This window comes from Homo sapiens, chromosome 19 (genome assembly GCF_000001405.40).
Source record: "Homo sapiens chromosome 19, GRCh38.p14 Primary Assembly".
In the NCBI taxonomy this organism is placed as follows: domain Eukaryota; kingdom Metazoa; phylum Chordata; class Mammalia; order Primates; family Hominidae; genus Homo; species Homo sapiens.
The window spans coordinates 54,215,081-54,242,858 of NC_000019.10; the positions used below are offsets into that span (position 1 = coordinate 54,215,081).

At 51.6% G+C, this 27,778-nt stretch overlaps 2 protein-coding genes, 2 long non-coding RNA genes and 1 pseudogene across 18 annotated transcripts, besides 3 other annotated features; 2 read left to right on the forward strand and 3 right to left on the reverse strand.

Moving 5' to 3' along the window:
* Positions 1–1,197: 1,197 nt before the first annotated feature.
* On the reverse strand, positions 1,198–7,927 carry LILRB3 (leukocyte immunoglobulin like receptor B3). 13 transcript variants are annotated; one of them, NR_135496.2, is made up of 14 exons: positions 7,863–7,927; positions 7,667–7,702; positions 7,198–7,482; positions 6,834–7,050; positions 6,538–6,706; positions 6,003–6,299; positions 5,448–5,750; positions 5,075–5,125; positions 4,049–4,165; positions 3,683–3,758; positions 3,565–3,602; positions 3,281–3,333; positions 2,239–2,394; positions 1,198–2,159 (listed from the first exon to the last, which is right to left on the reverse strand). NR_135496.2 is itself a non-coding variant. In NM_001320960.2 (14 exons), the coding sequence occupies exons 1-14, from the start codon at positions 7,894–7,896 to the stop codon at positions 2,013–2,015; spliced, it is 1,947 nt and encodes a 648-aa protein (NP_001307889.1). In that variant the 5' UTR covers positions 7,897–7,927; the 3' UTR covers positions 1,198–2,012. The 13 variants fall into 13 exon arrangements, 9 of the variants coding, with proteins under 9 accessions (NP_001307889.1, XP_011524683.1, XP_011524684.1 ...); NM_001320960.2 differs by lacking the exon at positions 6,538–6,706 and adding an exon at positions 4,789–4,839 and having other exon boundaries at positions 6,748–7,050; XM_011526381.3 differs by lacking the exon at positions 6,538–6,706 and adding an exon at positions 4,789–4,839 and having other exon boundaries at positions 2,239–2,397; positions 6,748–7,050.
* Positions 1,805–2,641: an enhancer, noted in NCBI's record as "H3K4me1 hESC enhancer chr19:54720754-54721590 (GRCh37/hg19 assembly coordinates)". NCBI's record gives its function as "activates a minimal SCP1, AML or CMV promoter by ChIP-STARR-seq in primed H9 embryonic stem cells {active_cell/tissue: H9 hESC(primed)}" and the evidence as "EXISTENCE:reporter gene assay evidence [ECO:0000049][PMID:30033119]".
* Positions 2,642–3,477: an enhancer, noted in NCBI's record as "H3K4me1 hESC enhancer chr19:54721591-54722426 (GRCh37/hg19 assembly coordinates)". NCBI's record gives its function as "activates a minimal SCP1, AML or CMV promoter by ChIP-STARR-seq in naive H9 embryonic stem cells {active_cell/tissue: H9 hESC(naive)}" and the evidence as "EXISTENCE:reporter gene assay evidence [ECO:0000049][PMID:30033119]".
* Positions 3,815–21,540, forward strand: LOC124904768 (uncharacterized). Its single transcript, XR_007067339.1, has 3 exons — positions 3,815–4,524; positions 16,661–16,856; positions 20,499–21,540. It is a non-coding gene; the product is annotated as an uncharacterized LOC124904768 (long non-coding RNA).
* LOC107985279 (uncharacterized) lies at positions 11,730–18,897 on the reverse strand. 2 transcript variants are annotated; one of them, XR_001754003.2, is made up of 4 exons: positions 18,807–18,891; positions 17,708–17,783; positions 16,151–16,263; positions 11,730–11,786 (listed from the first exon to the last, which is right to left on the reverse strand). It is a non-coding gene; the product is annotated as an uncharacterized LOC107985279 (long non-coding RNA). The 2 variants fall into 2 exon arrangements; XR_001754004.2 differs by lacking the exon at positions 17,708–17,783 and having other exon boundaries at positions 18,807–18,897.
* Positions 13,909–15,463, forward strand: LOC100421130 (LSM14A, SCD6 homolog A (S. cerevisiae) pseudogene; annotated as a pseudogene).
* Positions 17,006–17,759: an enhancer, noted in NCBI's record as "H3K4me1 hESC enhancer chr19:54735962-54736715 (GRCh37/hg19 assembly coordinates)". NCBI's record gives its function as "activates a minimal SCP1, AML or CMV promoter by ChIP-STARR-seq in naive H9 embryonic stem cells {active_cell/tissue: H9 hESC(naive)}" and the evidence as "EXISTENCE:reporter gene assay evidence [ECO:0000049][PMID:30033119]".
* LILRA6 (leukocyte immunoglobulin like receptor A6) lies at positions 21,510–27,710 on the reverse strand. Of its 2 annotated transcripts, NR_104098.2 has the most exons (10): positions 27,638–27,710; positions 27,439–27,474; positions 26,946–27,230; positions 26,582–26,798; positions 25,751–26,047; positions 25,194–25,496; positions 24,821–24,871; positions 23,742–24,009; positions 23,406–23,533; positions 21,510–22,113 (listed from the first exon to the last, which is right to left on the reverse strand). NR_104098.2 is itself a non-coding variant. In NM_024318.5 (8 exons), the coding sequence occupies exons 1-8, from the start codon at positions 27,669–27,671 to the stop codon at positions 23,873–23,875; spliced, it is 1,446 nt and encodes a 481-aa protein (NP_077294.3). In that variant the 5' UTR covers positions 27,672–27,710; the 3' UTR covers positions 21,510–23,872. The 2 variants fall into 2 exon arrangements, 1 of the variants encoding a protein (NP_077294.3); NM_024318.5 differs by having other exon boundaries at positions 21,510–24,009; positions 26,496–26,798.
* Between the last annotated feature and the right edge of the window lie 68 nt (positions 27,711–27,778).

Genomic DNA, 27,778 nt, shown 5'->3' on the forward strand with positions numbered 1-27,778 from the left:
AACGATGTTTCGCTCCACTACACATTTCATATGTGATGGTATAGCCTATGTATGTAGTAGGTTATACCACGTAGGTTTGTGTAAGTAGACTCTATGATGTTCACACGACGGTGAATTTTTTTTTTTCTTTTTTTTGAGATGGAGTCTCATTCTGTCTCCCAGGCTGGAGTGAAATGGCACGATTTTGGCTCACTGCAACCTCCGCCTCCCAGGTTCAAGCGATTCTCCTGCCTCAGCTTCCCAAGTAGCTGGGATTACAGGCATGCACCACGATGCCCGGCTAATTTTTGTATTTTTAGTAGAGACAGGGTTTCACCATGTTGAGCAGGCTGGTCTCGAATTCCCGACCTCTGGTGATCCACCCATCTTGGCCTCCCAAAGTTCTGGGATTACAGGCGTGAGCCACCACGCCTGGCCAAAATTTTTTAATGATGGCTTTCTCAGAACATATCCCTGTCATTAAGTGACATACGGTTGTAATGTCATCAGTGATTACATTAAATATAAGTGATCAAAAAGAGATTACAAGATTGGAATTTTTTTTTTTTGAGACAGAGTCTTGCTCTGTTGCCCAGGCTGTAGTGCAGTGGTGTGATCTCGGTTCACTGCAACCACTGCCTCCTGGGTTCAAGCAGTTCTCTGCCTCAGCCTCCCTAGTAGCTGGGATTACAGGTGCCTGCCACCACACCTGGCCAGTTTTTGTATTTTTAGTAGAGATGGGGTTTCACCATCTTGGCCAGGCTAGTCTTGAACTCCTGACCTTGTGATCCACCCGCCTTGGCCTCCCAAAGTGCTGGGATTACAGGCATGAACCCCCGTGCCTGGCCTGTTGTTTATATTTTATCACATTAAAAAAGCAGAAGGATGAAAAATGTATTATGCAAACACTAATCAACAGATAATTTCACCGGCTTGTTAGTTGTTTTGTTTTTTTGAGACAGGGTCTCGTCCAGGCTGAAGTGCTGTGGTGCGATCTCGGCTCATTGCAGCCTCGACCTCCTGTACCCAAGTGATCCTCCCACCTCAGCCTCTCAAGTAGCTGGGACTACAGGTGTGTGCCACCACGCCGGACTGGTTTTATTTTTTGTAGAGATGGGGCCTCACAATGCTGATCTGACTGACTCGAACTCCTGAGCTCAAGCTATCCTCCCCACTTGCCCTCCCAAAGTATTGGGATTACAGGTGTGAGCCACTGCACCTGGTTATGCTTCTTTTTTATTTTTTTTCTTTCTTTTTTTTTTTTTTTCGAGACGGAATCTCACTCTGTCGCCCAGGCTGGAGTGCAGTGGTGCGATCTCAGCTCACTGCAAGCTCTGCCTCCCGGGCTCATGCCATTCTCCTGCCTCAGCCTCCTGAGTAGCTGGGACTATAGGCACTCGCCACCACGCCCGGCTAATTTTTTTGTATTTTTAGTAGAGACGGGGTTTCACCGTGTTAGCCAGGATGGTCTCGATCTCCTGACCTCATGATCCGCCCGCATCAGCCTCCCAAAGTGCTGAGATTATAGGCGTGAGCCACCGCGCCCGGCCTATTTATGCTTCTTAATTTTCCCATGTCATAAGTTCGATGTATAATATTTACATTATCATTCAGTTTAAAACATTCACTGTTTTTTTTTTTAGAGACAAGGTCTCGCTCTGTCACACAGGCTGGAGTGCAGTGGCACAGTCATAGCTCACTGCAGCCTCAGCAGCCTTAACTTCTTGTGTTCAAGGAATCCTCCCCACTCAGCCTCCTGAGTACCACACCCGGCCTTTACGTCTGTTTTTGTTTTTTGTTTTTTTGTTATTAACTCATTGATTGTTGAGAAGTCTGTTGCTTTATTTCCAAAATGGGACGATATTAGTCATCTTTGAGTCAGGTGAGTCCCACAAGTTCCCAGCGTCTCCTCATGGTCTGTGTTAGGGGTCCAGGCTGACTGGGGTTCACTGGTGTCCACTGGGGGCAGCTCCCGTGCCTTCAGCAGTCCTGAGTCTCCTTCTGCTGAGTGTGGGGTCTGCGTACCCCCCGGGCTAGTGGATGGCCAGAGTGGCGTAGATGCTGGGCTCAGCTGGAGGTTCCCCTTCCTGGGATGGAGGAGGCTCAGTTGCCTTCCGTCTAAGGGTCAAGCTGTGCAGCTGGGCGTAGGTCACATCCTGGGAGGCTTCAGATGCAGCAGCCTGCAGCGGGGGAGAGTGAGAGGTAAGGAACGTGGTGGGGGTGGGGGAGGCCTGGGGGCCTGGAGAGGAAAGGACTCACCTCAGTGTCCATCTGCCTGTCCTCTTCCACCTGTCTGTCCTTTGTGTCCAGGAATTCCCCAGACAGTGAGGAGGGAGGAGAGGCCATTTCTCTCCTAGGACTGGAGTGTTTCACCGGGGCATACGTCACTGCCTGGGGGTCTTCATCGTGTGGGCTCTGCTGGAGAGAGACAGTGGTGGGGGGTGTCCTTGAGTCCCCCTGACCTCCTGGAGTCAATTTTCCTCACTGTTCCCGGGGTGATCCGATTACATCCCTTTCCTGATGGAATCTCAGGGACGCCCTAAGGCCGTGGAGGGTCTGGCCGCTCCCTCCCTGTGGTTCTGGCCTCTGCTCCTCACTCTGACCTTGCCCATTTGGCTGCAGCCTCACAGGCCTTCCTGCAAGAGCTCGCTGCTGCCTGGGGGCCTTTGCACGGCTGTTTCCTCTGCCTGCAGGGGCTCGTCCATCAGAGGATCATGTGCCCCACTCTGTCCAGGCTTCTCAGATGACAGCTGAGCAGACAGCCCTCCCCTTCCATTCAGACTGGCCCCACTGCCCCACACTCTCTGCCCTTTCCCTGGTGTATGTTCCTTACAGCACGTTGCACTCCTGGACACGATGCATTTATTTGCATTTTGTCTCCCACCGTGAGGTGAGCTCAGGAGGCGGGGGCGGCTTTGCTCCCTGCTGTGTCTGCAGCTCCCATGGGGAGCCCCATCCACAGTGAGCTCCCTGGGAACACTCGCTGGATGAATGAATGAAGAGGAGCCCAGGGGACGGAGGTGGTTCATTTATTCGTCATCCTCCTGAGGCCTGGGGAGAGCTCTAACAACCAGACGGCCAAACAGAGGATGAGGAGCAGGAAGGGGACCCGGGAGGAGGCCCACGAGGTCCCAGGACAGCAGAAGAGAGTGAGGTCACAGCAGGCGGGAGGCAGCATGCTGGACAAGGAGGGGTCCACCGTGACGATGCTGAGAGCCGGGGGAAGGAGGACAGAGAAGTCCTGCAGGATTAGATCTGGCACCAGGAGGCCTTTGGTGCCTGGGACGGGGCGGGATCTCACCTGACTGTCCAGCTCCACCCTGTCCTCAGACTGTGTGTCCTTCACAGCAGCATCTGCTGGGGCAGAGCAAGGGGTTCGTCTCCTGGTTCTCTGAGACCTCTCAGTCCTGCTGGCCCCCTGCCCTGCTCCCAGATGGGGCCACCGAATGCAGGGAGGTCCCACAGTGTGGGGCAAGACCATCTTCCACGGAGCCCCAGACCCTTCCCAGCCCCTCCCTGTTGCTACTGAAATTTTGGGACTCCTGTCTCTCCAGCACCCCCATTTGTCCCCTCTCTTCCTCTTACAGAGGTTTTCTTCCTGGACGTCAGCAGCTGGGCTGGACCTGGAGGAGGACATGGGAGTGTGAGGGGCAGTGTATGGGCTGTGGTGGGTGGGAGTCTGTGGTCTTTGGGGCAGAATTACCTCCTCAGCAGGCCCCTGTCCTTGGGCTCTGTCTCCGCAGCCCCTGCAGGACGCTGGAAATCAGTCTTTCTCTGGTCTGGGTGAAGATGGACAGAGTCTCAGCCCTGGGAACATTAGAACTCCCATTCTACACATGCAACTTGAGGGAAAGAAGGAAAACTAAAAATATTCCTGCATGGATGTTCCAAATATTTTATGAGATAGAAAAAAACTCCCATGAATACTGAAGTTTGTAAATGCGTATTGAAATTACGTGCCCCTGGAACCGGTTTTCTAAACTGACACCCCTGTGTGTTTGGGTTCCCTCTGGCTGGTGCCCTGAGCCCACCCTCGGTCGACCCATGGGTCCCCCGCTTCCCTACTCACCAGATGTCCTGTGTTTGCTGTGACGCTGACGGAGGAGGAGGAGGAAGAGGAGGAGGAAGAGCAGCAGGACGAAGGCCACCGAGACCCCAATCAAAACCTCCAGGTATCTTCCCAGACCTTGACATGAGGACGTCAGGAGTGGGAATGATGTCATTGATGTGAGCACCTACTGTGTGCAGGCGCGAGCCAGGTCTTTCCTTCGTGACCTCCAACCCTCACAAGCAGTCGTGCAACATGGAATTGCCACCCGTACAACCCATTTCACAGATGCACAAACTGAGGCTCAGAGCAGGGAGTCGCCTGCCCCAGGCCTCCAGCGAGGAAGCGGCAGAGCTGGGAAGGGAGCCCGGGAGTCTGACCTGCAGCCCTTGTTCCTGCACCAGAGCCGAGACCCGGAGCTGCAGGGAAAGAGCCTGACCGTCCTGAACCACGGCCCTGCTCCCCTCCCCTGCCCCAGGTCACCGTCACTGCTGCAGGTGGGACGGGACAGGCCCCTGTGGAATCGGGTCTGGGAGGTTCCCTGGGAGGCCTCCTCTCCCAGGAGGTCACAGCTGGGGGTCAGAGCTGAAAGGAACTTTCCCACCCACAGGCCTCTCTCCTTTACACTTGGAGAAACTGAGGCCCAGGCAGGGGAGGGGCCTGTCCACATCACCACCTCCAGAGGAGCCTGAACCTAGGACAGAACCCACCCCTGCCTCCCCTGGACCCCGCCCATCTCCCACTCAGAGCCCCTCACTCACCATTCTGAGGGCCTGACCCTGGGGGGTTAAGGGGCTGGTCCTCAGGACCTCCTGGGTCAGGACAGGGAGGTGAAGGCTGGGGCTGTCTTGCCCCCCACATCAGCCCGGCTCCTCCTCCTGGCTGGGCCCCAACATCTCCCTCTGCCTCGACCCCCGCCCCTCACCAGCCCAGCCTCAGAGCCCCTGGGACACAAGCCCGTCCTTGAGGGGAGGGGAGTGGGATCCTTTGGGAGACTCAGACTGCCCTGGGGGAGGCGGCGCTCCCCAAGAGGCCTCAGTGACTCACCAGGTGTGGAGGGCGGCCCTGTGGGTGGGAGGCTGGAGCCTCCAGAGTGTCCTGGAAGGAGCACGGGAGGCGGGTGAGGGGCGGGGGCCGTCCATGGAGTGCACCCTTCCACTCCCACTCTCCTGCTTCCGCCCAGTGGATTCCCTGGAACCATCTCTCTGCCCACCTGGTGCCTTCTGCATGCCAGGCAGGGGAGAACGGGTGGCCACGCCTAGGAGAACCCCTGTTGGCCTCCTCCCCTCTGAGGGCTGGGTGCCCTCTGGCTAAGCCTCCCTCACAGCCTCCCTCGGTCCATCCCAGCCGAGAGCTCTCCTGGGGGCCTGGGCCGGAGCTGAGCCTTTGAGCTCAGAGAGGACGGGGTCAGCGCCCTCACCTGAGACCATGAGTTCCAGGGGCTCACTGGGGAAAGACAGCAGGTGGGGGTTGGAGCTGCGTGAGCCGTAGCACCTGTAGGTCCCCGCGTGGGCTGAGGTCACAGGACTCATGGGGAATTCAGCCTGGTACTTATGAGCTCCGTACATTGATCTCAGACGCAGTGGGGGATGGGCTGCCCCTTCTTTGGTCAGAAGGAAAGTGTCAAAATACCCCCGTGACTGACACAGCAGGGTCATGTTCTCTCCTGAGGCCACTGTGGGGCCCGGCTGTGCTGACAGGGAGACGGTGTCATAGATCTGTCCTGGAGAGAAGAAGGATGGGTGAGGGGCTGCCCCACCTTGCTCTGAGCTGACACCTCCCCAGGCCTCTCCCTGGGACCCTCAGTGTCTCTGTCCCTGTTTTCTCTGAGTCTCCCCTCCCCCCATCCCCTGTCTCTGTCTGTCTCTCCCTCCCTTGGGACCCCCACCCCTCATCCCGGCCATCACCACCTGGGCTCCCCCGGCAGGGCCTGTGCAGAGCCTGGGTCCCTGACTGAACCCGCTGGGCTCCTCACCTGTGATCAGGATGTCCAGGGGGTCACTGGGGGCCGACCACTCGGAGGAGAGGTTGTGTGCACCATAGCACCTGTACTGGCCCCCGTAGGAGCGGCTCACAGGGCCCAGGGTGAAGTTGGCCTGGGAGAGCCCAGCCTGGGGCTGCTGGCCAGGGCGCTGGAGGAAGTCACGTTCCCCCTCCTTATACAGAACAAATCTGTCGTAGCCGACATCAGAGCCACACTGGAGGGTCAGGCTCTGCCCAGGGGCCAGGACAGGGCCCTGCAGGGTCAGGAGGGAGGGCTTCCTAGACACGCCTGGAGGGAAAGAGGAGCCAGGACTGAGAGGGCTGGTTCCTCCCACGCCCCTTCCTTCTCCCGTCCTGGCCCTGCAGGTCTCACTGTCTCTCACGCTCTGAGTCTCTGACCCCAGGGCCTCCTTCTCACCCGGGGCTGTCTTGGAGTCATTTCAGAGGAGTGGGGTCTCCCTAGCCCTGGCCACTGTGCCTGATCTTTCCTCCTCTCCCTGAGAGCTGGGACCTCACAGCAAACACACCGATGCCTTCCTGAGTCCTCCCCTTCCAGGTGAACGTGGTCAAGGGCTCCTCCTCCCATGTCAGAGCCTCCCCATGGGGTCTCCCTCATGCCTTCAGCCCGTCCTTCAACACATCACTCTGGGTCCTTTCCAGATTCAGTCACCAGCCAAACTCCCCACAACCTGTCAGCTGCCCCGAAAGTGTGTTAGACAAGGCCGTGGCTCCCTCACCTGAGGGCAGAATCTCCAGGGGGTCACTGGGGTGGGACCACACCCAGGGGGTGTTTGTATAATAGTAATAGCATGTGAACCTCCACCTGTGGCTGGGGGTCACGGGGCCCACAGGGAACAGGGCCTGGAACCCCCCACTGTGGAGCTGCTGTGAGTCCAGGGTCCGGGGGAGCTGGTGTTCTCCTTCCTTCATCAGAACAAAATGGTGATATCCCTTCTGTGAGCCACATCGGAGGGTCATATTCCCCCCTGAGGCCACCACAGGGCTGGGCAGGGCTGAGAGGGTGGGTTTGTTGTAGAATCCTAGGAGAGAAAGAGGCACCGTGTTAAATGGGGCTCCCACCTCCCACATCATCCCCAGGGCTGGGCTGTGAGAGGGAGACGCCCCTGAGAGCCGACCCCCTTCCTGAGGGCAGAGCCTGGGGCTGGGACCCCAGAGTGTCCTCTCACCTGTCATCACCAGCTCCAGGGGGTCGCTGGGCTCTGACCAGCCTGCAGAGCTGTAATAGTGGCAGCGGTATCTCCCTGCATGGTGCTGTGTCATGGATGGGATGGAGAATCTGGCCTTGTTCTTGGGTTCCAGTGGGTTATTTCTGTCCCAGGGCTCTGGGCTTCCCTCTTTATCCAGTTGGTACTCCTGGGCCTCCAGGCTCCCCTGACACCAGATGGTCACGGGGCTCCCCCAGCTGATCACAGAGCCTGGCTCAGCCCAGAGGGTGGGTTTGGGGAAGGGCCCTAGATGGAAATCAGAGGCTGGATCCCAAGACATCCCCACGCTCAGATCCCAGCTCCCAGCCCCAGGACTTCCCCATCATCCCCATCAGTCACCCAGAACTACTGTCTCCTCCCCCAGCTGCCCATGGGTGGCCCCCTGTCCCAGTGAGGAGTAGGGACCTGGGACAGCTGGGGACAGACTCACCTGCCTGCATGCGGGTCCTGGGGCCCAGACTCAGCCCTGGAAGAGAGTTCCCTGTGAGGCATTTGCCCTGAAGCCTGAGCAGGTCCCCGCCCGGGTGCCTCCTGAGCTTTTGAGGTCTCCTGATGGACCAGGGCTTGTGTGTGGGGTGGGGTTCCTCCAAGACTCGGATCTCCCCCTCCCCATCTTGAAATCTCACCAAGGCAGAGCAGGGCTGTGAGGGCGGGCGTCATGGCGTCTCCTCCCGGTGACCCCGCGCTCTGCAGAGGGATGAGCCCTCAGTGCTGGCAGGACAGAGAGACACACAGGGTGTGGCCGCTCGGAGGCTGGGTCCTTCTTGTCATGGGGTTGTCTCATCCTCAGCCCACAGGAAGAGGAACTGCCACCCCAAGAACCTGGCTCTGATTTCCCCAGGGCTGAAGTGGGGGCAGGCACCAGGCTCTCTGCAGGCATTTCAGAGAGAAATGGGGTCTCCCTGCCCCCGGGCCACTGTCTGCCTGATTTATCTTTATCTCACTGAGGACGGGGACACAGCCGCAAATAGACCTGGTGCCTTCCTGAGTCAGCCCCTTTCAGGCGAGGGTGACCGTGGGCTCCTCCTCCCTCTCAGAGCCTCCCCATGGGGTCTCCCTCCCTCCTTCAGCTCGTCCATCAGTTCAGCGTTACGGGGTCCTTACCATGGCAGTCGTCTCTCCAGCCCTGGAGATGCTTCAGGGAAGACCCAGGTCCATGCTGCAGGCAGACTCAGATCAGCAGAGACGCACCTGACACCTGGCTGTGTAGTCCAGGCTGAGCTGCGTGTGGCAGTGAGCACAGAGAAATGCAGGGTCTACCGTGGTGGCTCATGCCTGGAATCCCAGTACTTCAGGAGGCTGTGGCGGGTGATGGCTTGAGGCCAGGAGCTTCAGACAGTCCTGGGAAACAGACTGTGACCCTGTTTCTACAGAAAAGAAAAAAGTGAGCTGGGCATGGAGGCTCATGCCTGTGGTCCCAGCTACTCAGGAGGCTGAGGTGGGAGGATCACTTGGGCCCGGGAGGCGGAGGCTTCAGGGAGCTATGATCACCCCTTGGCCTTCCAGCCTGGGCGACAGAGCAAGATCCTGTCTAAAAAGGAGAAATAGAGGGGATAAAGAGAAATATATATATATATGTTTCATTGTAATCTATAATCTGATTCTGGGGAAGGTGAGCTGATTTGTATTTAATTCCTGATTATCATCTAGGGTTTATGTGACTTTGGACATGAATGTCACCTCTGAGCCTGCTGTCATGAACCCCACTCATCACAGTGGCTGTGGGGGTCAGTGGTGCCCAGGACATGGGAGGCTCAGCCATGGTGAATTTCCAGACCAGTTCAGACAGGAGGGTGGGGACGGGAGAGGATCCTGGTGCTGGGCTCCACAGTCGAGGAGGATGATTGACGCCCCCACTCAAGAGCCCACATCGGCTCCAAATACCATGAAATTCTCCTTGTGATACGTCTGAAATATGCAGATCATCACAGCCACAGGCAGAGAAAGAGGAAAAACAGTTCCTCACATTGAGACGCATCCCCTTCCATGAGCAGAGTTCAATGCTGAGTGGCCACAGGTGTCTGGGACCACCGAGCGTCATTAGGGAGGAGGAGGCTCCCACCTCCATGTGGGACAGAAGAGGAACCCCACGTCCTCCCAGGCAGGGAGGGGTCAGGGCTCTGGGTGAGGCTGGAAGCGGTGGCTCCCCCTCCCCTGTGTGTGTGGACAGGCGCTGGGGGGTCTCTGCTCACTCACTGGAGGCCACGGTCAGCGCTCAGCCCCTCCCCTGTGTGTGAGAAACAGATTCGATCCACGGTGGTCAGACATGGGCGTCTGCCCCACAGGTGAGTGTGAGGCTGGCGTTGGTCCCATCGCTGCTGGGCACAATCTTGAGCTGACACTGAGTTTGGGGGAGTGGGGCAGGAGCAGCGGCAACAATCCCCTTCATCAGGCTGATGCCTGGACAGCCGTGGGAGAAACCCTTTATGAAAGGCCAGGTGCGTGGGAGGAGCCGCCCCACAGGAATGACAACCGTATGAGGACAAAATAGACAGTTGTTGAAATGCATTAGACAGACATCGTGAAGGTGAAAAACTATATTAAATTAACGCCATTAAAAAGGAATTTATGTCTGGGCATGGTAGTTCATGCCTGTAATCCCAGCACTTTGGGAGGTGGAGGCGGGCAGATCACTTGAGGCTAGGAGTTCGAGACCAGCCTGGGTGACATGGTGAAACCCCATCTCTACTAAAAATACAAAAAATTATCTGGGCGTGGTGGTGAGTGCCTGTAATCCCAGCTACTCGGGAGGCTGAGGCAGGAGAATCTCTTGAACCTGGAAGATGGAGGCTGCTGTGTGCTGAGATTGCGCCCCTGTACTTCAGCTGGGACAACAGGAGCGAAACTGTGTCTCAAAAAAAAAAGCAATTTACTAACCATATATACCTACTATGCAAACATAACAAAATCAAAGCATAATTTAATCCAGGGCAAGACAGCTGAAATAATAAATATATACATTGGGATAAAATATTCATGAAATTTTCCAGACTGTATCATGGAAAGAACAGAAATTGAACAATAGAAAATATTGATATATACACGAAGTTGAATGAGAAGAAAGAACGTGTCTGTCACGGTTTCAGAATGAAAGAAGGAAGAAGGATGTTAGTTCATGATATGCATGAAGAGCTAATGGTTGAAATTTTTACAGAACTGAAGAGAAAACATCAGTTTATAACTAAATTGAATATCTCGATCATGGTAAAGTGAAAACCATGAGGCATTAATTTAAAATAATCATAAAACTACCAGAGAAAATGTAAATTACCCTTGAATGAATGACAAGTTCATCGGGACTGGAGTTCCAAAGAGCAAACAGCAGCCCCAGAAGATACAGGAGAAACAACCACAAGCGTTTAACTGTGAGGAGAGAGTTCCTGTGCTGGGCCTAATTATTACTATTATAATTATTTATTATTATTATTATTATTATCTTTTGAGATGCAATTTCGCTCTTGTTGCCCAGGCTGGAGTGCAATGGCGCGATCTCGGCTCACCGCAACCTGGCCTAGTTATTATTAAAGGACCGAGTTGCAGTGTCAGCTGTGGATAAATCCTAGAACATAAGGAGACTCGGGGCACTCGTGACCCGTCAGGTCAGGCGGTGGCCTTATGAGGAATAAGGAGGGCGTTTTCAGTGTCCTTTTATCAGGTACTATGATAACAACAGAGAAAGAGAGAGATTGAGACAGACAGAGAGAGACGGAGAGACAGAGAGAGATTGAGACAGAGAGAGAGAGGGAGAGGGAGACACACACACACACACACGGAGAGAGACAGAGACAGAGAAGCAGGCATCGCTTGAGCTGCAAGGCTGCAGACATGTTTGCATCTGGGCTCTTTCTGAAAGCAATACTAAACAATGTAAATCAGGGAGTGGAATAATGAACCCCAAATGGAGAAGATGAGATGCTACTGTGAATAAGTCAACAGTACATACAAAAAACGAATAAGCATAGATCTATCTGTAATCTGTGTATATACAAGTATATGCATTTCTACTAAGAATCTGAAAGAGCAAGGAAATGGATTCGCGTCTCTGGAGCCTCCAGAAAGGAATGCAGCCACGTTATGGCCTTGATTTTGTCCTAAAAGACTGTGAGATAATGAGTTTGTGTTGCTGAAGCTGCTCAATACGTGTAATTTGTTATGGCAGCAATAGCAAACCAATACTAACACAAACAGCCTTTGAAAAGAAAAATAGATGATATTTCACACTTTTATTTATTTATTTATTTATTTTATTTTATTTTGAGACGGAGCCTCGCTCTGTCACCCAGGCTGGAGTGCAGTGGCGCGATCTCGGCTCACTGCAAGCTCCGCCTGCCGGGTTCACACCATTCTCCTGGCTCAGCCTCCCGAGTAGCTGGGACTACAGGCGTCCGCCACCACGCCCGGCTAATTTTTTACTATTTTTAGTAGAGACGGGGTTTCACCGTGGTCTCGATCTCCTGACCTCGTGATCCGCCTGCCTCGGCCTCCCAAAGTGCTGCGATTACAGGCGTGAGCCACCACGCCCGGATATTTCATACTTTTAAATCAGCAATCTGTGAAGAAGAGAAAGTTATACACTTTCACTCAACCAACCACATGTCCTTAAAATTTACAAAGCATCAATTGAGACACAGTGGAGGATTTGAAGAAATATTGATCAGACTTTGATAGATTAAGTGAACAAAATATTCGTGAGGGTTGCATGGCACAAATGTTCAATCTCATGCGCAAATATGATGTTTCGATTGTTTATATATTATGTAAATTTGTATAGAAACGTTTCTGGAATATACATATAGCAACAAAGTGGGAATGCATATTTCTTTATATATATTTTTTTGAAACAAGGTCTCTCTCTGTTGCTCCATCTGAAGTACAATGGCACTATCCCAGCTCACTGCAGCCTCGACCTCCTGAGGCCTAGGTGATTCTGCCACAACCATTTCCTGAGTAGCTGGGACTACAGGATCATGCCACCTTGCCTGGCTAAATTTTTTTAATATGTATTTTTTTGTAGAGACGAGGTTTCGCTATGTTGCCCAGGCTGGTGTCAAACTCCTGGGCTCACGGGATCTGCCCACCTTGGCCTTCCAAAGTGTTGGGATTACTGGTGTGAGCCACTGTGCGAGGCCAGGAATACTTATTTATGAAAACATATTGATCAGAAATATCTATCTTTTTTTTTTTTTTGAAACGAAGTGTAGCTCTGTCGCCAGGCTGGAGTGCAGTGGCACGAACTCGGCTCACGGCAATCTCCACCTTCCGGGTTCAAGCGATTCTCCTGCCTCAGGCTTGTGAGTAGCTAGAATTACAGGCGTGCGCCGCCACACCCAGCTAATTTTTTTGTATTTTTAGTAGAGACGGGATTTCACCATATTGGCCCAGATGGTCTCGGTCTCCTGACTTCTTGATCTACCCGCCTTAGCTTCCCAAAGTGGTGGGATTACAGGTGAGAGCCACTGTGCCCAGCCGTCTCTATCATTTTTACACAGCAAAGTAAGCATCCAAACTGTTACTACAGGTAACGTTTCCTGATTAGAAGTTCAATTAAATTAGCAGCCAACAATAAGAAGACATTTAGAGAAAAAGCAATACTTTGGAAACAAATAACATTCTAAATATTCATGGGTTATAGGCTGGATGTGGTGGCTCATGCCTGTAATCCCAGCACTTTGGGAGGCTGAGGCAGGTGGATCACTTGAGGTCAGGACTTTGAGACCAGCCTGGCCAACATGGTGAAATGCTGTCTCTACTGAGAATGCAAAAATTAGCTGGGTGTGGTGGCATGCACCTGTATTTTCAATGACTCGGGAGGCTGAGACGGGAGATTCACTTGAACCCAGGAGGTGGAAGTTGCAGTGAGCCGAGATTGTGCCACTGCACTCCAGCCTGGGTGAGAGAGTAAGACTCCATCGCAAAAGCAAAAACAAATATTCATGGGTTATAGAATCACACAACATTAAATTGATAGAACATTAACGAAAAATGTCAATGAAATTATAACATATGAACGTTTGTAGGATGTAAAGTAAGAGAGTGAGAGAGAGAGAGGGAGCACAACAATTACCAAATCAAGATGGAAAGAGGCACCACTACCCATCCTACAGACATAAAAGGACTAGTGAAGCAAAACTAGGAATCTATGCTAAGATGTTTTACAACTCACATTTAATAGAAAATATCTTGAAGTATACAAACTACCAAAATTTACTCAAGAACAAATATATAGTGTAACATTTCCTATTTTTATTAAAGAAATTCAACTGGCTGGGATTGGTGGCTCACACCTTTAATTCCAGCACCTTGGGAGGCTGAGGCGGGCAGATTACCTGAGGTCAGGAATTCAAGACCTGTCTGGCCGACATGGTGAAATCCCACCTCTACTAACAATACAAAAATTAGCCAAGTGAGGTGGCGCATGCCTGTAATCCCAGCTACTCAGGAGGGTGAGGCAAGAGATCTGTTTGAACCCAGGAGGCGGAGGTTGCAGTGAGGTGAGATCACACCACTGCATTCCAGCCTAGGCGACAGAGGGAGACTCTGAAAAAAAAAAAAAAAAAAGAAAAGAAATTCAACCTACACTCAGAAATCTTTCCATAGGGAAATCTGGCCTAAATGGGTACACTGTTGATTTCTACCAAATATTTGAGAAAGTAAGAATGACATGGAAACTCTAGCTATCATTCAGTTCTCACTAGGCTCATCGACTTCTTCATTCCAGTCCATGGGTTCTTATGGACACATCCAGCCAGTTCAGTCCAAGTTCCTTAGTGGGGCAGCAGTTTGGTGCTGTTGGTGTTGCTGGAAGCTCTTTGACCTCCTTTGGAACAGAAATATCAAACAGTGGTAGCTTGCCCCAAAGTAGAGTGGTTGATTCTGCCTTTACACAGGATACAAGATCCCTAAAAACACAATTATCTCAAGGTCCTTCAAGCGCTCAGTTCGACCCTTTGAGAAGAAGCCCAACCATGGAACAAGGAGTGCAGACCGCCTGGGCCCACGGACCTGCTCCAGCACCTGTTGGGAGAAGGAGTCCTGTATCAACCAGGCCTTTGCCATCTACCAGCCAAAAAGCAATAGAGAATCAGGAGCAGAGGTGAGCTGAAGCGCACAACGTTCCAAGGCCAGAAAATGAGCAACTCAGAAATGAAACAAGAGACAAGCAGCTCCAGGTGCTCCTTCAGCGCCAAGGAGAGGGCGTGGGGGTCATGGGGTGGCAGGGGAAGATTTGGTATTCGGCGAGATGGGCCAATGAAATTTGAGAATTTTTTTTTTTTTTTTTGGAGACGGACTCTCGCTCGGTCGCTCAGGCTGGGGTGCAGTGGCCCGATCTCGGCTCACTGCAAGCTCCGCCTCCCGGGTTCACGCCATTCTCCTGCCTCAGCCTCCCCAGTAGCTGGGACTACAGGCGCCCGCCACCACGTCAGGCTAATTTTTTTGTATTTTCAGTAGAGACGGGGTTTCACCGTGATCTCGATCTCCTGACCTCGTGATCCGCCCGCCTCGGCCTCCCAAATTGCTGGGATTACAGGCGTGAGAGAAAGAGTTTGACTTTGAAAGTGCAAATGCCCAATTCAACAAGGAAGAGATGGGCAGAGAGTTTCATAATAAACTTAAATTAAAAGAAGATAAACTTGAGAAAGAGGAGAAGCCTGTAAATGGTGAAGATAAAGGAGACTCAGGAGTTGATACCCAAAACAGTGAAGGACATGCTGATGAAGAAGATGCACTTGGACCTAATTGCTTTTATGACCAAACTAAATCCTCCTTTGATAATATTTCTGGTGATGACAATAGAGAACGGAGGCCAACCTGGGCTGAAGGAAGAAGATTAAATGCTGAAACATTTGGAATCCCACTTTGTCCAAACCGTGGCCATGGGGGATACAGAGGCAGAGGGAGGTCTTGGTTTCCATGGTGGCAGAGGGCGTGGTGGCAGAAGTGGTACCTTGACCACCCCTTGAGGATTTCGCGGCGGATTCAGAGGAGGTTCCAGGGGTCGGGAGTTTGCAGATTTTGAATATAGGAAAAGCACAGCCTTTGGCCCCTAAATAGTCTGAATTGATAGTACTGCTCTCTGAAAGAAAGACAACAAAGCTGCTGCATAGTCTACAAACAAGTCTTTGAAAACAGGTGAATTTCTAGCTCTTCATGGTACTGGAAACTGATTTCAGTCTTTGCGAAGAACGAAGAAGTGAATTGGCTGTATGTTTGCCATCAGCACTGGGTTTTTGTTTTTTGTTTGTTTTTCTGTTTAATTTCAGAGATAAAATGCAGTTAGTTTTCGGGGGAGGAAGCCTTATCTTAAGACATGAGGATTAAATATATTTGGAATAGCAGAAGGTTAAATAATTTCTTATGTATAGTTAAACTAAAGCAGTACTTCAGTGGGACTTATAAGTATTGTGTCATCACTGAAAGGTTTTTTTTTTTTTTTTTTAATCACTGAATTGTATTTGGTAATTCCAGGTTGCCTGCAGATAGGGCCGTGATACTGTGTTCTGAGCCAAGAAGGGAGGGTGTGTGTGTGTGTGTGTGTGTGTGTGTGTGTGTGTATCTTTCTCCTCCTTTCTTTTGGGGAATCTTGTAATATTAAATAGTCTATTTCATCAATTAATTAGGGTGCTGGATGGTAGAGAATTTTGTCAGTCAACTAGGTACACACGGTAAATACTGTTTCTTAGGCAAACGAACTTTTTTATACAGTTGTAAAATTCCATTATATTCCAATGCCAAAGAAACATTAAAAACTTTGTAAAGTTGTATAAAAAGCAACTAATTTTTTACAAAATAGATATCCTAAAGTTAGCCAAAAAAAAGAGAAAAGGGCAAAGTGATCATTTTTGGCGTAGGGTAACCCTTAGTTTCTTCCCTGGTAGTAATTTCCCACCAGGCAGATCGTCTAACCCCAAATCACCTAAAAGTGCAGGCCCAGGACGTGCTTATCTGCCCAGTGAGTCACCTGGAGGGGTGGTGATGGGGGCTGTTGATGACACGCTCCTTTCCTTTCCCAGCCCGTGTGTTCTACCTCTGAAAAGACATAGCATTTTCATTTGCAGAGCCCATTATAGAAAAATAAGAACAAAAATATTAGAAGGAAAAGACATAGCATCATTTAGTGTTCATTCATATGAATATGTATATTGTCTACAGCTATCTATATCTCTGTTTTATATCTATGTCTGTTACACCATCAGAGAGCACCTAAAGTGCAGAGTCTCATCCACAAACTGTTTCTTGCATCTACTGTAAGAGGCCATTCCGATGCTCTGTCAGCCCCAGCAGCACCCAACCACTACATGGCACGCATCCTATCTCAGATCATCCCCAGGATATCACGTGGCCCTGTTCTCATTGCCCCACTGATTTCATGGGCGTGCAGGTCCCTCGATCTGAGATTAAGTCATGAGATGCTCCATTTAAACAGGCGGGAGCCTCTGATTCCTGGCGGAGAGCCACAGTGAGCCCAGCAGAACCCATCTGAGCGCCAGCATCCAGCCCGGTCAGGAGGATTTGCTGCCCCCTCCTGGTGGAATGCGCGCCATGTCGTCAAGCGGCCACCAGATGACTCGCTCGCTGGTCCACTCAAAGGCATCACATCCAGAGCGCTCTGCTGGTCACAGGTGAGACTCTCAGCGACAGTGGTGGCTGCTTGGTCCTTGGTAAGAGGGAGTCGCTGGTGTTGGTTCCATGCATGTCCTTTTTTCTTTGATTCTTTTATTTTATTTTATTTAGAGACGGAGTCTCACTCTGTCGCCCAGGCTGGAGTGCAGTGGCGCGATCTCGGCTCACTGCAACCTCTGTCCCCTGATTCTCCTGCCTCAGCCTCCCGAGTAGCTGGGATTACAGGCACCTTCCACCACACCTGGCTAGTTTTTGTATTTGCAGTAGGGACGGGGTTTCGCCATATTGGCCAGGCTGGTCTTGAACTCCTGACGTCAGATAATCTGCCCAACTCGGCCTCCCAAAGTGCTGGGAATACAGGCGTGAGTCACTGCGCCTGGCAGCATGTCCTTTTTTTCTTGCTCCATGGCCACGACACTCACGGGCCCCTCCAGCACGCACTGGGGCTGCTGACACAGAGCTGGCTGAAGCTCACGGCATTAACCCAGTCATCAGCGGATCCTTAGATCTCCTAACCCCAGCTGTGGGCGCTCCTGCTAGCTTCTCAGGAGAAGCTCCTGGTCGAGAGCAGACGTTTCTCCTGTCCTCCTCCAGCCTCAGTCTCCGGCAGTTTCTGTGTGCCTGGGCCTTGAGGGTGGGTTTGTCTCCGTGTTTCTGTCCCCGCTCCTCATGGCAGCTGCATTGTATTGAGTAGGTTTGTTTGATGGGGACGGGTTTTCTGTCCCTATTCCAAATTTGCATATCTCTAATGGTATTTGTCTAGGATCACAGTCCAGGATTGTTCTCTGCACTCCTCCTAGGGTAGAGGGATTTTATGATCCACCTTCTTCCGGCCACAATGAGTCATTACCTGGGATCTGAGGTGGGCAGAATTATCTGAGCCTCTTCCAATGGCTTATGTCTTTTCCTCCATGTGAGAGAAACACCTGGGTGGGAAATGAGATTTCAGGCCATGCACAGTGGAAGCTCTTTCTGTCTGATCACTAATGTGGGGTCTCCATCTTGCTCCAAATCAGTTTTGTGAATGCACGGTTGAGACCCAAGAAAAAGAGCCTTTGGGTGAGTGCACAGCACCCCTCTGTCTTAGGTCCCCAGATATATCTCAATTTGGGCTTCTTCTGGAACATGAAACTATTTACTTTGAGTTTCCTACGAAAACATAGTGCTGGCCTTAGACTTCCTATCCTGAAACCCCACGTCTATTTCCCAACCTCATGCATGGAAAAGTGCTCGAATCTCCATAGGATCAGCAAGATCTCTATAGAATCTCCATGGGCCCTCCACAGGACCTCCATAAGATCTCAATAGGTTCTCCACAGGTTCTCCATAGGTTGTCCATAGAACCTCCACAGGACCTCCATAGGATCTCAATAGAACCCCCACAAGACCTCTATAGGATCTCAATAGAACCCTCACAGGACCTCCATAGGATCTCAGTAGAACCCCCACAGGACCTCCATAGGATCTCAATAGAACCCCCACAGGACCTCCATAGGATCTCAATAGAACCCTCACAGGACCTCCATAGGATCTCAGTAGAACCCCCACAGGACCTCCATAGGATCTCAATAGAACCCTCACAGGACCTCCATAGGATCTCAGTAGAACCCCCACAGGACCTCCATAGGATCTCAATAGAACCCCCACAGGACCTCCATAGGATCTCAATAGAACCCCCACAGGACCTCCATAGGATCTCAATAGGACATCCACAGGACCTCCATAGAATCTCAATAGAACCCCCACAGGACCTCCATAGGATCTCAATAGAACCCCCACAGGACCTCCATAGGATCTCAATAGAACCCCCACAGGACCTCCATAGGATCTCAATAGAACCCTCACAGGACCTCCATAGGATCTCAATAGAACCCCCACAGGACCTCCATAGGATCTCAATAGAACCCCCACAGGACCTCCATAGAATCTCAATAGATTCTCCATAGGACCTTTGCAGGACATCCATAGGTTCTCCGTGGATCTTCATAGGACCTCGACTGGATCTCCATAGGATCTTCACAGGGCCTCCGTAAGTTCTTCACAGGATTTCCAGAGTTGCCACAGGATCTGCCACTGCAGGGACCAGCCGGCATCCTCTACATCCCAAGATGCTGGAAATGACCACGTGGTGATAGTGGTTATGGATTTCCTACAGGAGAATGTGTGAAACCATGTTCCTGGGCAACCCTGCGGAGTCCCAATCTCCATTCAGATCCTCCAGGGGCCAGGCTGGAGGGGGTGTCTGGTGTGTCACTGTGTCTGTTCACACAGAATGGGGGCTTCTGCAGTAATAATGGGAAACCAGCCCAGAGATAGAGGCAGGGATTGGAGTTATGCTGTCATAATCCATGAAGTGCTGAGCTGAGGAAACCAGCTGAGCTTGGACTGTAGCGTTGGACAGGAGACATTGATAAAAAGGACTCTGTGGTAGAATGGTGTGGATTTGTTCATTGTGTGTGAAGAAGAAGATGCTCAGGGAATGAAAGCTCTTCCATTCTCTGACTTGGTTGACAAGAGGAACCAATAGGGCCATCACAGGAGCAATGACCCCATGTGGGAAGCAGACTGAAGGAGATGTATTAAAAACAGTTAACTAAGTCAGAGAGAGAAACAGAGCCTCCCAATACCTGGAAAGCATGGTTTGTTCCTCCCAAACTTCCTCCCTCTGACTTCTTTATTTCTCTACGTAGCAGCACCTCTTCATTTCTCCATCAAAGGCTCTGAGCTGTTTGAGTTCCTCATATATTCTGATGATCAAACCCTTGTTAGAGGAATAGGTAACAAATGTTTCTCCCTGCCTCTGTAGGTCATAACACCGTTGGTTGTTTCCTGAGCTCTGCAGAAGCTTTTTAGTTTGATACACCCATTTGTCTATTTTTGAATTCGTTTCCTATGCTTTTGAGGTCTTACTGATAGAATGTTTGCTTAGACCAATGTCTTGAAGCGTTTCCTCTGTGTTTTCTTCTATAGTTTCATAGTTTCAGGTCTTACTTTGGGTCTTATTCTGTCTTGAGTAGATTTTTGTATATCGTGAGAGACAGAGGTTGAGTTTTGTTTTTTTGCATATGGATATGCAGTTTTGCTAGCAGCATTTATTGAAGAAACTGTCCTTTACCCAATATATGTTCTTGGCATGTTTGTTGATAATCAGTTGGCTGTCAATTTGTGGATTTATTTCTAGGTTCTTTGTTCTGTTCCATTTGTCTATGTGTTTGTTTTTAAGCCAGTGCCTTACTGTTTTGGTTACTATAGCTTTGTAGTGTATTTTGAAGTCAGGTAGTGTGATGTCTCCAGCTTTGTTTTTTTTTCTCTACATTGCGTTGGCTATTTTGGGTATTTTATGGCTCTATATTAATTTTAGAATTTTTTATATTTCAGTGAAGAAAGACACTTGTATGTTGATAGGAATTACAATGAATCTGTAGATAGCTTTGGGTCCTATGGTCCTTTTTGTAAACATTTATTGTTTCAACGTGTGAACATGAGGTATCTTTCCAGTTTTTTCGTGTCCTCTTTAATTTTTCTTAGAGCTTTATAATTTTATTTGTAGAGGTTTTTACCTTGTCAGTTAAATTTATTAGCAGGTCTTTTATTGTTTGTGGCTATTATAAATGGGATTTCATTCCTGAATTCTTTTTCAGCCAGTTCTGTTCTTCAGGGTCAAGCATCATGTAAGTTCCCATGTAGGAAAGGAATCCGGAATGAACAGCAGCTGCACACAAATGCCTTTCTCTGATTTCCACCTCAGAGGGGTCCAGGAGGTGATCAGGCACATGGAGCATTGTCACATTTGGTACCAATCCCAGTGTGATCCCTAAAACACCACCTGATTGGGTTGAGCCTCATCTCTGAAATAACCAAGCCCTGTGTGATCCCTAAACCACCACCTGATTGGGTGGAACCTCATTTCTGGAATAACCAAGCCCTGTGTGATCCCTAAACCACCGCCTGATTGGATGGAACCTCATCTCTGGAATAACCAAGCCCTGTGTGATCATCCTAAACCACCACCTGATTGGGTTGAACCTCATGTCTGAAATAACCCCAAGGCCATGTTGGTGTCCTTCATCCCAGTTCTGGTGGTTTCAACATAATGAAATCAGAAAGTTATATGGCCACTTAAAAATGTCAAGTGCATGTCATGAAGTACTGGACAAGGTGTTTCCCTTTCTGAGGCCCATTCTTACCTGGGTAAGTGGCTCATTGTCTGCGTGGACTCAGGTGAGGTTGATCAGGCAGGTGGGTGTCATGTTGTGAATGAAACACAAAGTCAACCTGTGAGATCATTGCTCTGACAGGTCAAGAACCACCTGGTTTGCCATTTAGTGGCCAGTGCAGCCTGTGGCATTCACCACCACACTTCAATCTCAGCTCCCTAAATGGCATGACAAATAAAGATAGATAGGTACAAAAACAGAGATATGCTATTCCCTGGTTAAAATGGCTGTTATCTCTAAGACAAAAATTAACAGATGCTGTCAAGGATATGGAGAAAAGAAACCCTTCTACCTTGGTGGGAACGCAAGTTGGTGCAGCCAATATGGAAAACAGCATGGAGGTTCCTCAAGAAACTGAAAGTAGAACAACCACACCATCCAGTAATCGCACAGATGGGTATATTTCCAAAAGAAAGAAAATCAGTATATCAAAGAGGTGTCTGCATTGCCATGTTTATTGCAGCAGTATTCACAATAGCCAAGATATGGAATCAACCTATGTCCATCAATGGATGAATGGATAAGGAACATGTGGTCTATATACACAATGAAATAATATTCAGGCATAAAAAGAAGGAAATTGTACCATGTTCAGCAACACAGATGAATCTGGAAGACATTATGTTCAGTGAAATAAGCCAGGCCCAGAAAGAGGAGCATGTTCTCACTCACGCGGAAGCTACAAAAGTGGGCCTTGTGATGGCAGAGAGTAGAATGGTTGTCAACAGAGGCTGGCAAGGGAGTGTGGAGGACAGGGATGGAGAGAGGTTGGTGGACGGGTGCAGAAATACAGGTGGAGAGAAGGAGTAAGTTCCAGGGCCTGAGAGCTCAGTAGGGTGACCATAGTTAGCAACAGATTATTGTATTTTCCACATGAGTGAGAAATGAAGATTTGGAATGTTCCCAGCACAGAAATTATAAAAGTTGGCCAGGCATAGTGGCTCACACCTGTAATCCCAGCACTATGGAAAGCCGACGCTGGTGGATCACCTTAGGTCAGGAGTTCGAGACCAGCCAGAGCAACATGGTGAAACCCCGTCTGTAATAAAAATACAAAAATTAGCGAGGTGTGATGGTGCATGCCTGTAATCCTAGCTACTCAGGAGGCTGAGACAGGAAAACTGCTTGAACCCGGGAGGCAGAGTTTGCAGTGAGCCAAGATCCTGCCACTGCACGCCAGCTGGGCGACAGTGCAAGACTCTGTCTCAAAATAATAACCATAATAACAAATGTTCAGGGTGATGAATGTCCTGGGAACCTTTATTGGATCGTTACACATTGCATGGATGAATCAGATTACCACATGCTCCCAAGAAACATGTATGATTATTCCGTATCAAATTAAAATTATGTGATTTACCAATAACTCGAAGTGGATTGAGGGTCACCAAATGAAAGTCAGCGTTCCAGTGCCCGCGTCCAGTGGTCCTTGGAGTTTCCATGTTGAACAGAACCCTCCAGTATTTCCTGATGTGCAAGCACTATTTTGGATTACATAATCTATTTCCTTTATTTATGGGGTCTATTTTGAGTTTGCCTCCCTAGAAAATAAATGCTGCCTCTTTTTGAGCTTCATGTGCACACCTTCTTTTTATACTCTTGTTTCTTTACTCAACATCATGATGGAAGGTTGGTTTGCATTGCTCTTTGTAGATTTTGTCTGTGCCTCTGCACGGCCTCGTAGTATCCCTTGGTGGAATTGAACCACATATGTTTCCTTTGTTTTAGATGTATTTTTGGGTTTTATGGCTGTTGTGTAATATGAGCAGCAGTCCTGTCCATGTTGTTGTGAATGAAACCTCACCATATGAACACATTTTCCTCTAGGTTCTGTGCTTTGTGTTCATAGCTGTGTGTCTCTTCTTTTTTTTTTTCTTTTTTTTTTAGATGAAGTCTCGTACTGTCACCTGGGCCGGAGTGCAATGGCGCCACCTTGGCTCACTGCACCAACTGGCGCCAACTTGCTTCCGTCTCCCAGGTTCAAGCAATTCTCCTGCCTCAGCCTCCTGAGTAGCTGAAATTACAGGCACCTGCCACCACGCCCAGCTAATGTTTTGTATTTTTAGTAGAGACGGGGTTTCACTATGTTGGCCAAGCTGGACTCGAATTCCTGAACTCGTGTCCGCCCGCCTCAGCCTCCCAAAGTGCTGGGATTACAGGCATGAGCCACCGCGCCCGGCCATGTTTCTTCTTTTTCACTGGGTACTTCTGATATTTTCCCCAAATTGATTCAAGTAATTTGCAGTCCTACCATGGATGTATTGGATTTCTACGTGAGCCCTACTACCTCTGACATTTGATATTGTCATTTTCATCATGTGAAATGAATACCTCAACATTGATCCCTCTCTTCAGGAATGATCGACAGATAGTCCAGAAAGCATAGGCTGTAGATTTTGTTCCAGAACCTCCTGGGATCATCAGATTGAACACATGAGGGTGGGAGACTGCCATACAAGCTGGGAAGGAGGAATCAGATGATATTGTCATGAATTCCTCAAGAGTTAGTGTTTGCTGGCCTCCAAGAGGCAAGGATCTCTGGGAACTTAAGACAGAGAAGCACTTCACACTCACCCATGAGCTCTTTTCCGTGGGTCTCAACTGGGCATTCACAACATAGATTGGAAGTAAGGTGGAGACCCAAAATTTGTGATCAGACATGATTACCTTCCACAGTGTGTGGCCTGAAATCTCACCCCCCTCTGGAGGTCCTAGATTGTCCTCCAGAGCCTTCTGGGATCATCAGATCTGTCCCTGAGGCTCCACCACGCTGAAGGGTGCATTGTCCTCTCCGCTGTTCACCTCCCGGCTGCATCTTGGGGGTTTCTCTGGCTGTGCTGAGCCTCAAATAACAGAATCCCGAGGAACACCAGGACCAAGCCTGCCATGCCCATGCGGATGAGATTCTCCACTGTGTAATCCTTGGCGTGTGAGGCTGGGGATGGTGGGCAAAGAGGTCACAGAGGTCCGGGCAGATCAACTTCACCCAGGACCCCTGGATGCCCAACCCAGGGCACCCCCCATCCGCCATTGACAGAACCTGACCCTCTGTGCCCGCCCCATAACTGTCTGACTTGTTTTGTGATGGGGTGAGGGTCTCAGCTCCTCCTGAGAATCAAAACAGAAGGGGAGAGCCCTGAGCCAGCCTCTCCCCTGGGCTCTGCGTTCTTATTCTTCCAGGCCTCATGACGTGGCTTTTACGGAGTTCCTCAATAAACCCTCCCTCTCCTGCAGCAGGGCTCCCTCCAGTCTCCTCATGAAACTATTTCAGTTTTCCTGTGTTCTATGAATTTCAACGCTGCTCCTGAGCCATTTCCTCCCTCCCATGGGCTGGATTCTCCACCTTCACTCCCTTCTTTCCTAGTGTCCCAGAGCTCTCCTGGGTGCAGAGCCTGAGCTGAGCATTTGAGCTCAGAGAGGACAGGGTCAGGGCCCTCACCTGAGACCACGAGCTCCAGGGAGTCACTGGCCTGACCCTGGGGGGTTGAGGGGCTGGTCCTCAGGACCTCCTGGGTCAGGACAGGGAGGTGAAGCCTGGGGCTACCTTGCTCCCCACATCAGCCCGGCTCCTCCTCCTGGCTGGGCCCCAACATCTCTCTCTGCCTTGAACCCCCCACTCTTCACCAGCCCAGCCTCAGAGCCCCTGGGACACAAGCCCGTCCTTGAGGGGAGGGGAGTGGGATCCTTTGGGAGACTCAGACTGCCCTGGGGGAGGCGGCGCTCCCCACGAGGCCTCAGTGACTCACCAGGTGTGGAGGGCGGCCCTGTGGGTGGGAGGCTGGAGCCTCCAGAGTGTCCTGGAAGGAGCACGGGAGGCGGGTGAGGGGCGGGGGCCGTCCATGGAGTGCACCCTTCCACTCCCACTCTCCTGCTTCCGCCCAGTGGATTCCCTGGAACCATCTCTCTGCCCACCTGGTGCCTTCTGCATGCCAGGCAGGGGAGAACGGGTGGCCACGCCTAGGAGAACCCCTGTTGGCCTCCTCCCCTCTGAGGGCTGGGTGCCCTCTGGCTAAGCCTCCCTCACAGCCTCCCTCGGTCCATCCCAGCCGAGAGCTCTCCTGGGGGCCTGGGCCTGAGCTGAGCCTTTGAGCTCAGAGAGGACGGGGTCAGCGCCCTCACCTGAGACCATGAGTTCCAGGGGCTCACTGGGGAAAGACAGCAGGTGGGGGTTGGAGCTGTATGAGCCGTAGCACCTGTAGGTCCCCGCGTGGGCTGAGGTCACAGGACTCATGGGGAATTCAGCCTGGTACTTATGAGCTCCGTACATTGATCTCAGACGCAGTGGGGGATGGGCTGCCCCTTCTTTGGTCAGAAGGAAAGTGTCAAACTGCCACCATGACTGACACAGCAGGGTCACGTTCTCTCCTGAGGCCACTGTGGGGCCCGGCTGTGCTGACAGGGAGACGGTGTCATAGATCTGTCCTGGAGAGAAGAAGGATGGGTGAGGGGCTGCCCCACCTTGCTCTGAGCTGACACCTCCCCAGGCCTCTCCCTGGGACCCTCAGTGTCTCTGTCTCTGTTTTCTCTGAGTCTCGCCTCCCCGCCCATCCCCTGTCTCTGTCTGTCTCTCCCTCCCTTGGGACCCCCACCCCTCATCCCGGCCATCACCACCTGGGCTCCCCCGGCAGGGCCTGTGCAGAGCCTGGGTCCCTGACTGAACCCGCTGGGCTCCTCACCTGCCATCAGGATGTTCAGGGGGTCGCTGGGGGCCGACCACTCGGAGGAGAGGTTGTGTGCACCATAGCACCTGTACTGGCCCCCGTGGGAGGGGCTCACAGGGCCCAGGGTGAAGTTGGCCTGGGAGAGCCCAGCCTGGGGCTGCTGGCCAGGGCGCTGGAGGAAGTCACGTTCCCCCTCCTTATACAGAACAAATCTGTCGTAGCCGACATCAGAGCCACACTGGAGGGTCAGGCTCTGCCCAGGGGCCAGGACAGGGCCCTGCAGGGTCAGGAGGGAGGGCTTCCTAGACACGCCTGGAGGGAAAGAGGAGCCAGGACTGAGAGGGCTGGTTCCTCCCACGCCCCTTCCTTCTCCCGTCCTGGCCCTGCAGGTCTCACTGTCTCTCATGCTCTGAGTCTCTGACCCCAGGGCCTCCTTCTCACCCGGGGCTGTCTTGGAGTCATTTCAGAGGAGTGGGGTCTCCCTAGCCCTGGCCACTGTGCCTGATCTTTCCTCCTCTCCCTGAGAGCTGGGACCTCACAGCAAACACACCGATGCCTTCCTGAGTCCTCCCCGTTCAGGTGAGCGTGGCTGAGGGCTCCTCCTCCCATGTCAGAGCCTCCCCATGGGGTCTCCCTCATGCCTTCAGCCCGTCCTTCAACACATCACTCTGGGTCCTTTCCAGATTCAGTCACCAGCCAAACTCCCCACAACCTGTCAGCTGCCCCGAAAGTGTGTTAGACAAGGCCGTGGCTCCCTCACCTGAGGGCAGAATCTCCAGGGGGTCACTGGGGTGGGACCACACCCGGGGGGTGTTCATATAATAGTAATAGCATGTGAACCTCCACCTGTGGCTGGGGTTCACGGGGCCCACAGGGAACAGGGCCTGGAACCCCCCACTGTGGAGCTGCTGTGAGTCCAGGGTCCGGGGGAGCTGGTGTTCTCCTTCCTTCATCAGAACAAAATGGTGATATCCCTTCTGTGAGCCACATTGGAGGGTCATATTCCCCCCTGAGGCCACCACAGGGCTGGGCAGGGCTGAGAGGGTGGGTTTGCTATAGGCTCCTAGGAGAGAAAGAGGCACCATGTTAAATGGGGCTCCCACCTCCCACATCATCCCCAGGGCTGGGCTGTGAGAGGGAGACACCCCTGAGAGCCGACCCCCTTCCTGAGGGCAGAGCCTGGGGCTGGGACCCCAGAGTGTCCTCTCACCTGTCATCACCAGCTCCAGGGGGTCGCTGGGCTCTGACCAGCCTGCAGAGCTGTAATAGTGGCAGCGGTATCTCCCCGCATGGTGCTCTGTTATGGATGGGATGGAGAATCTGGCCTTGTTCTTGGGTTCCAGTGGGTTATTTCTGTCCCAGGGCTCTGGGCTTCCCTCTTTATCCAGTCGGTACTCCTGGGCCTCCAGGCTCCCCTGACACCAGATGGTCACGGGGCTCCCCCAGCTGATCACAGAGCCTGGCTCAGCCCAGAGGGTGGGTTTGGGGAAGGGCCCTAGATGGAAATCAGAGGCTGGATCCCAAGACATCCCCACGCTCAGATCCCAGCTCCCAGCCCCAGGACTTCCTCATCATCCCCATCAGTCACCCAGAACTACTGTCTCCTCCCCACCCAGAACTGCTGTCTCCTCCCCCAGCTGCCCATGTGTGGCCCTTGTCCCTAGTAAGGATGAGGGACCTGGGACAGCTGGGGACAGACTCACCTGCCTGCACGTGGGTCCTGGGGCCCAGACTCAGCCCTGGAAGAGAATTCCCTGTGAGGCATTTGCCCTGAAGCCTGAGCAGGTCCTCCCCGCCCTGGTGCCTCCTGAGCTTTTGAGGTCTCCTGATGGACCAGGGCTTGTGTGTGGGGTGGGGTTCCTCCAAGACTCAGATCTCCCCCTCCCCATCTTGAAATCTCACCTAGGCAGAGCAGGGCTGCGAGGGTGGGGGTCATGGCGTCTCCTCCTGGTGACCCCGGGCTCTGCAGAGGGATGAGCCCTCAGTGCTGGCAGGACAGAGAGACACACAGGGTGTGGCCGCTCGGAGGCTGGGTCCTTCTTG

Coding starts and splice junctions, on each gene's coding strand:
- LILRA6 (NM_024318.5), bottom strand. CDS start 27,671: ATGACCCCCACCCTCGCAGCCCTGCTCTGCCTAG. Junction 27,475..27,637: donor CGCAGCCCTGCTCTGCCTAG/GTGAGATTTCAA, acceptor ATTCTCTTCCAG/GGCTGAGTCTGGGCCCCAGG. Junction 26,799..26,945: donor CCTGGAGCTGGTGATGACAG/GTGAGAGGACAC, acceptor TTTCTCTCCTAG/GAGCCTATAGCAAACCCACC.
- LILRB3 (XM_047438108.1), bottom strand. CDS start 7,896: ATGACGCCCGCCCTCACAGCCCTGCTCTGCCTTG. Junction 5,126..5,447: donor CCTGGAACTCATGGTCTCAG/GTGAGGGCGCTG, acceptor TGCTCCTTCCAG/GACACTCTGGAGGCTCCAGC. Junction 2,398..3,280: donor GGGTGGAGCTGGACAGTCAG/GTGAGATCCCGC, acceptor GTCTCTCTCCAG/CAGAGCCCACACGATGAAGA.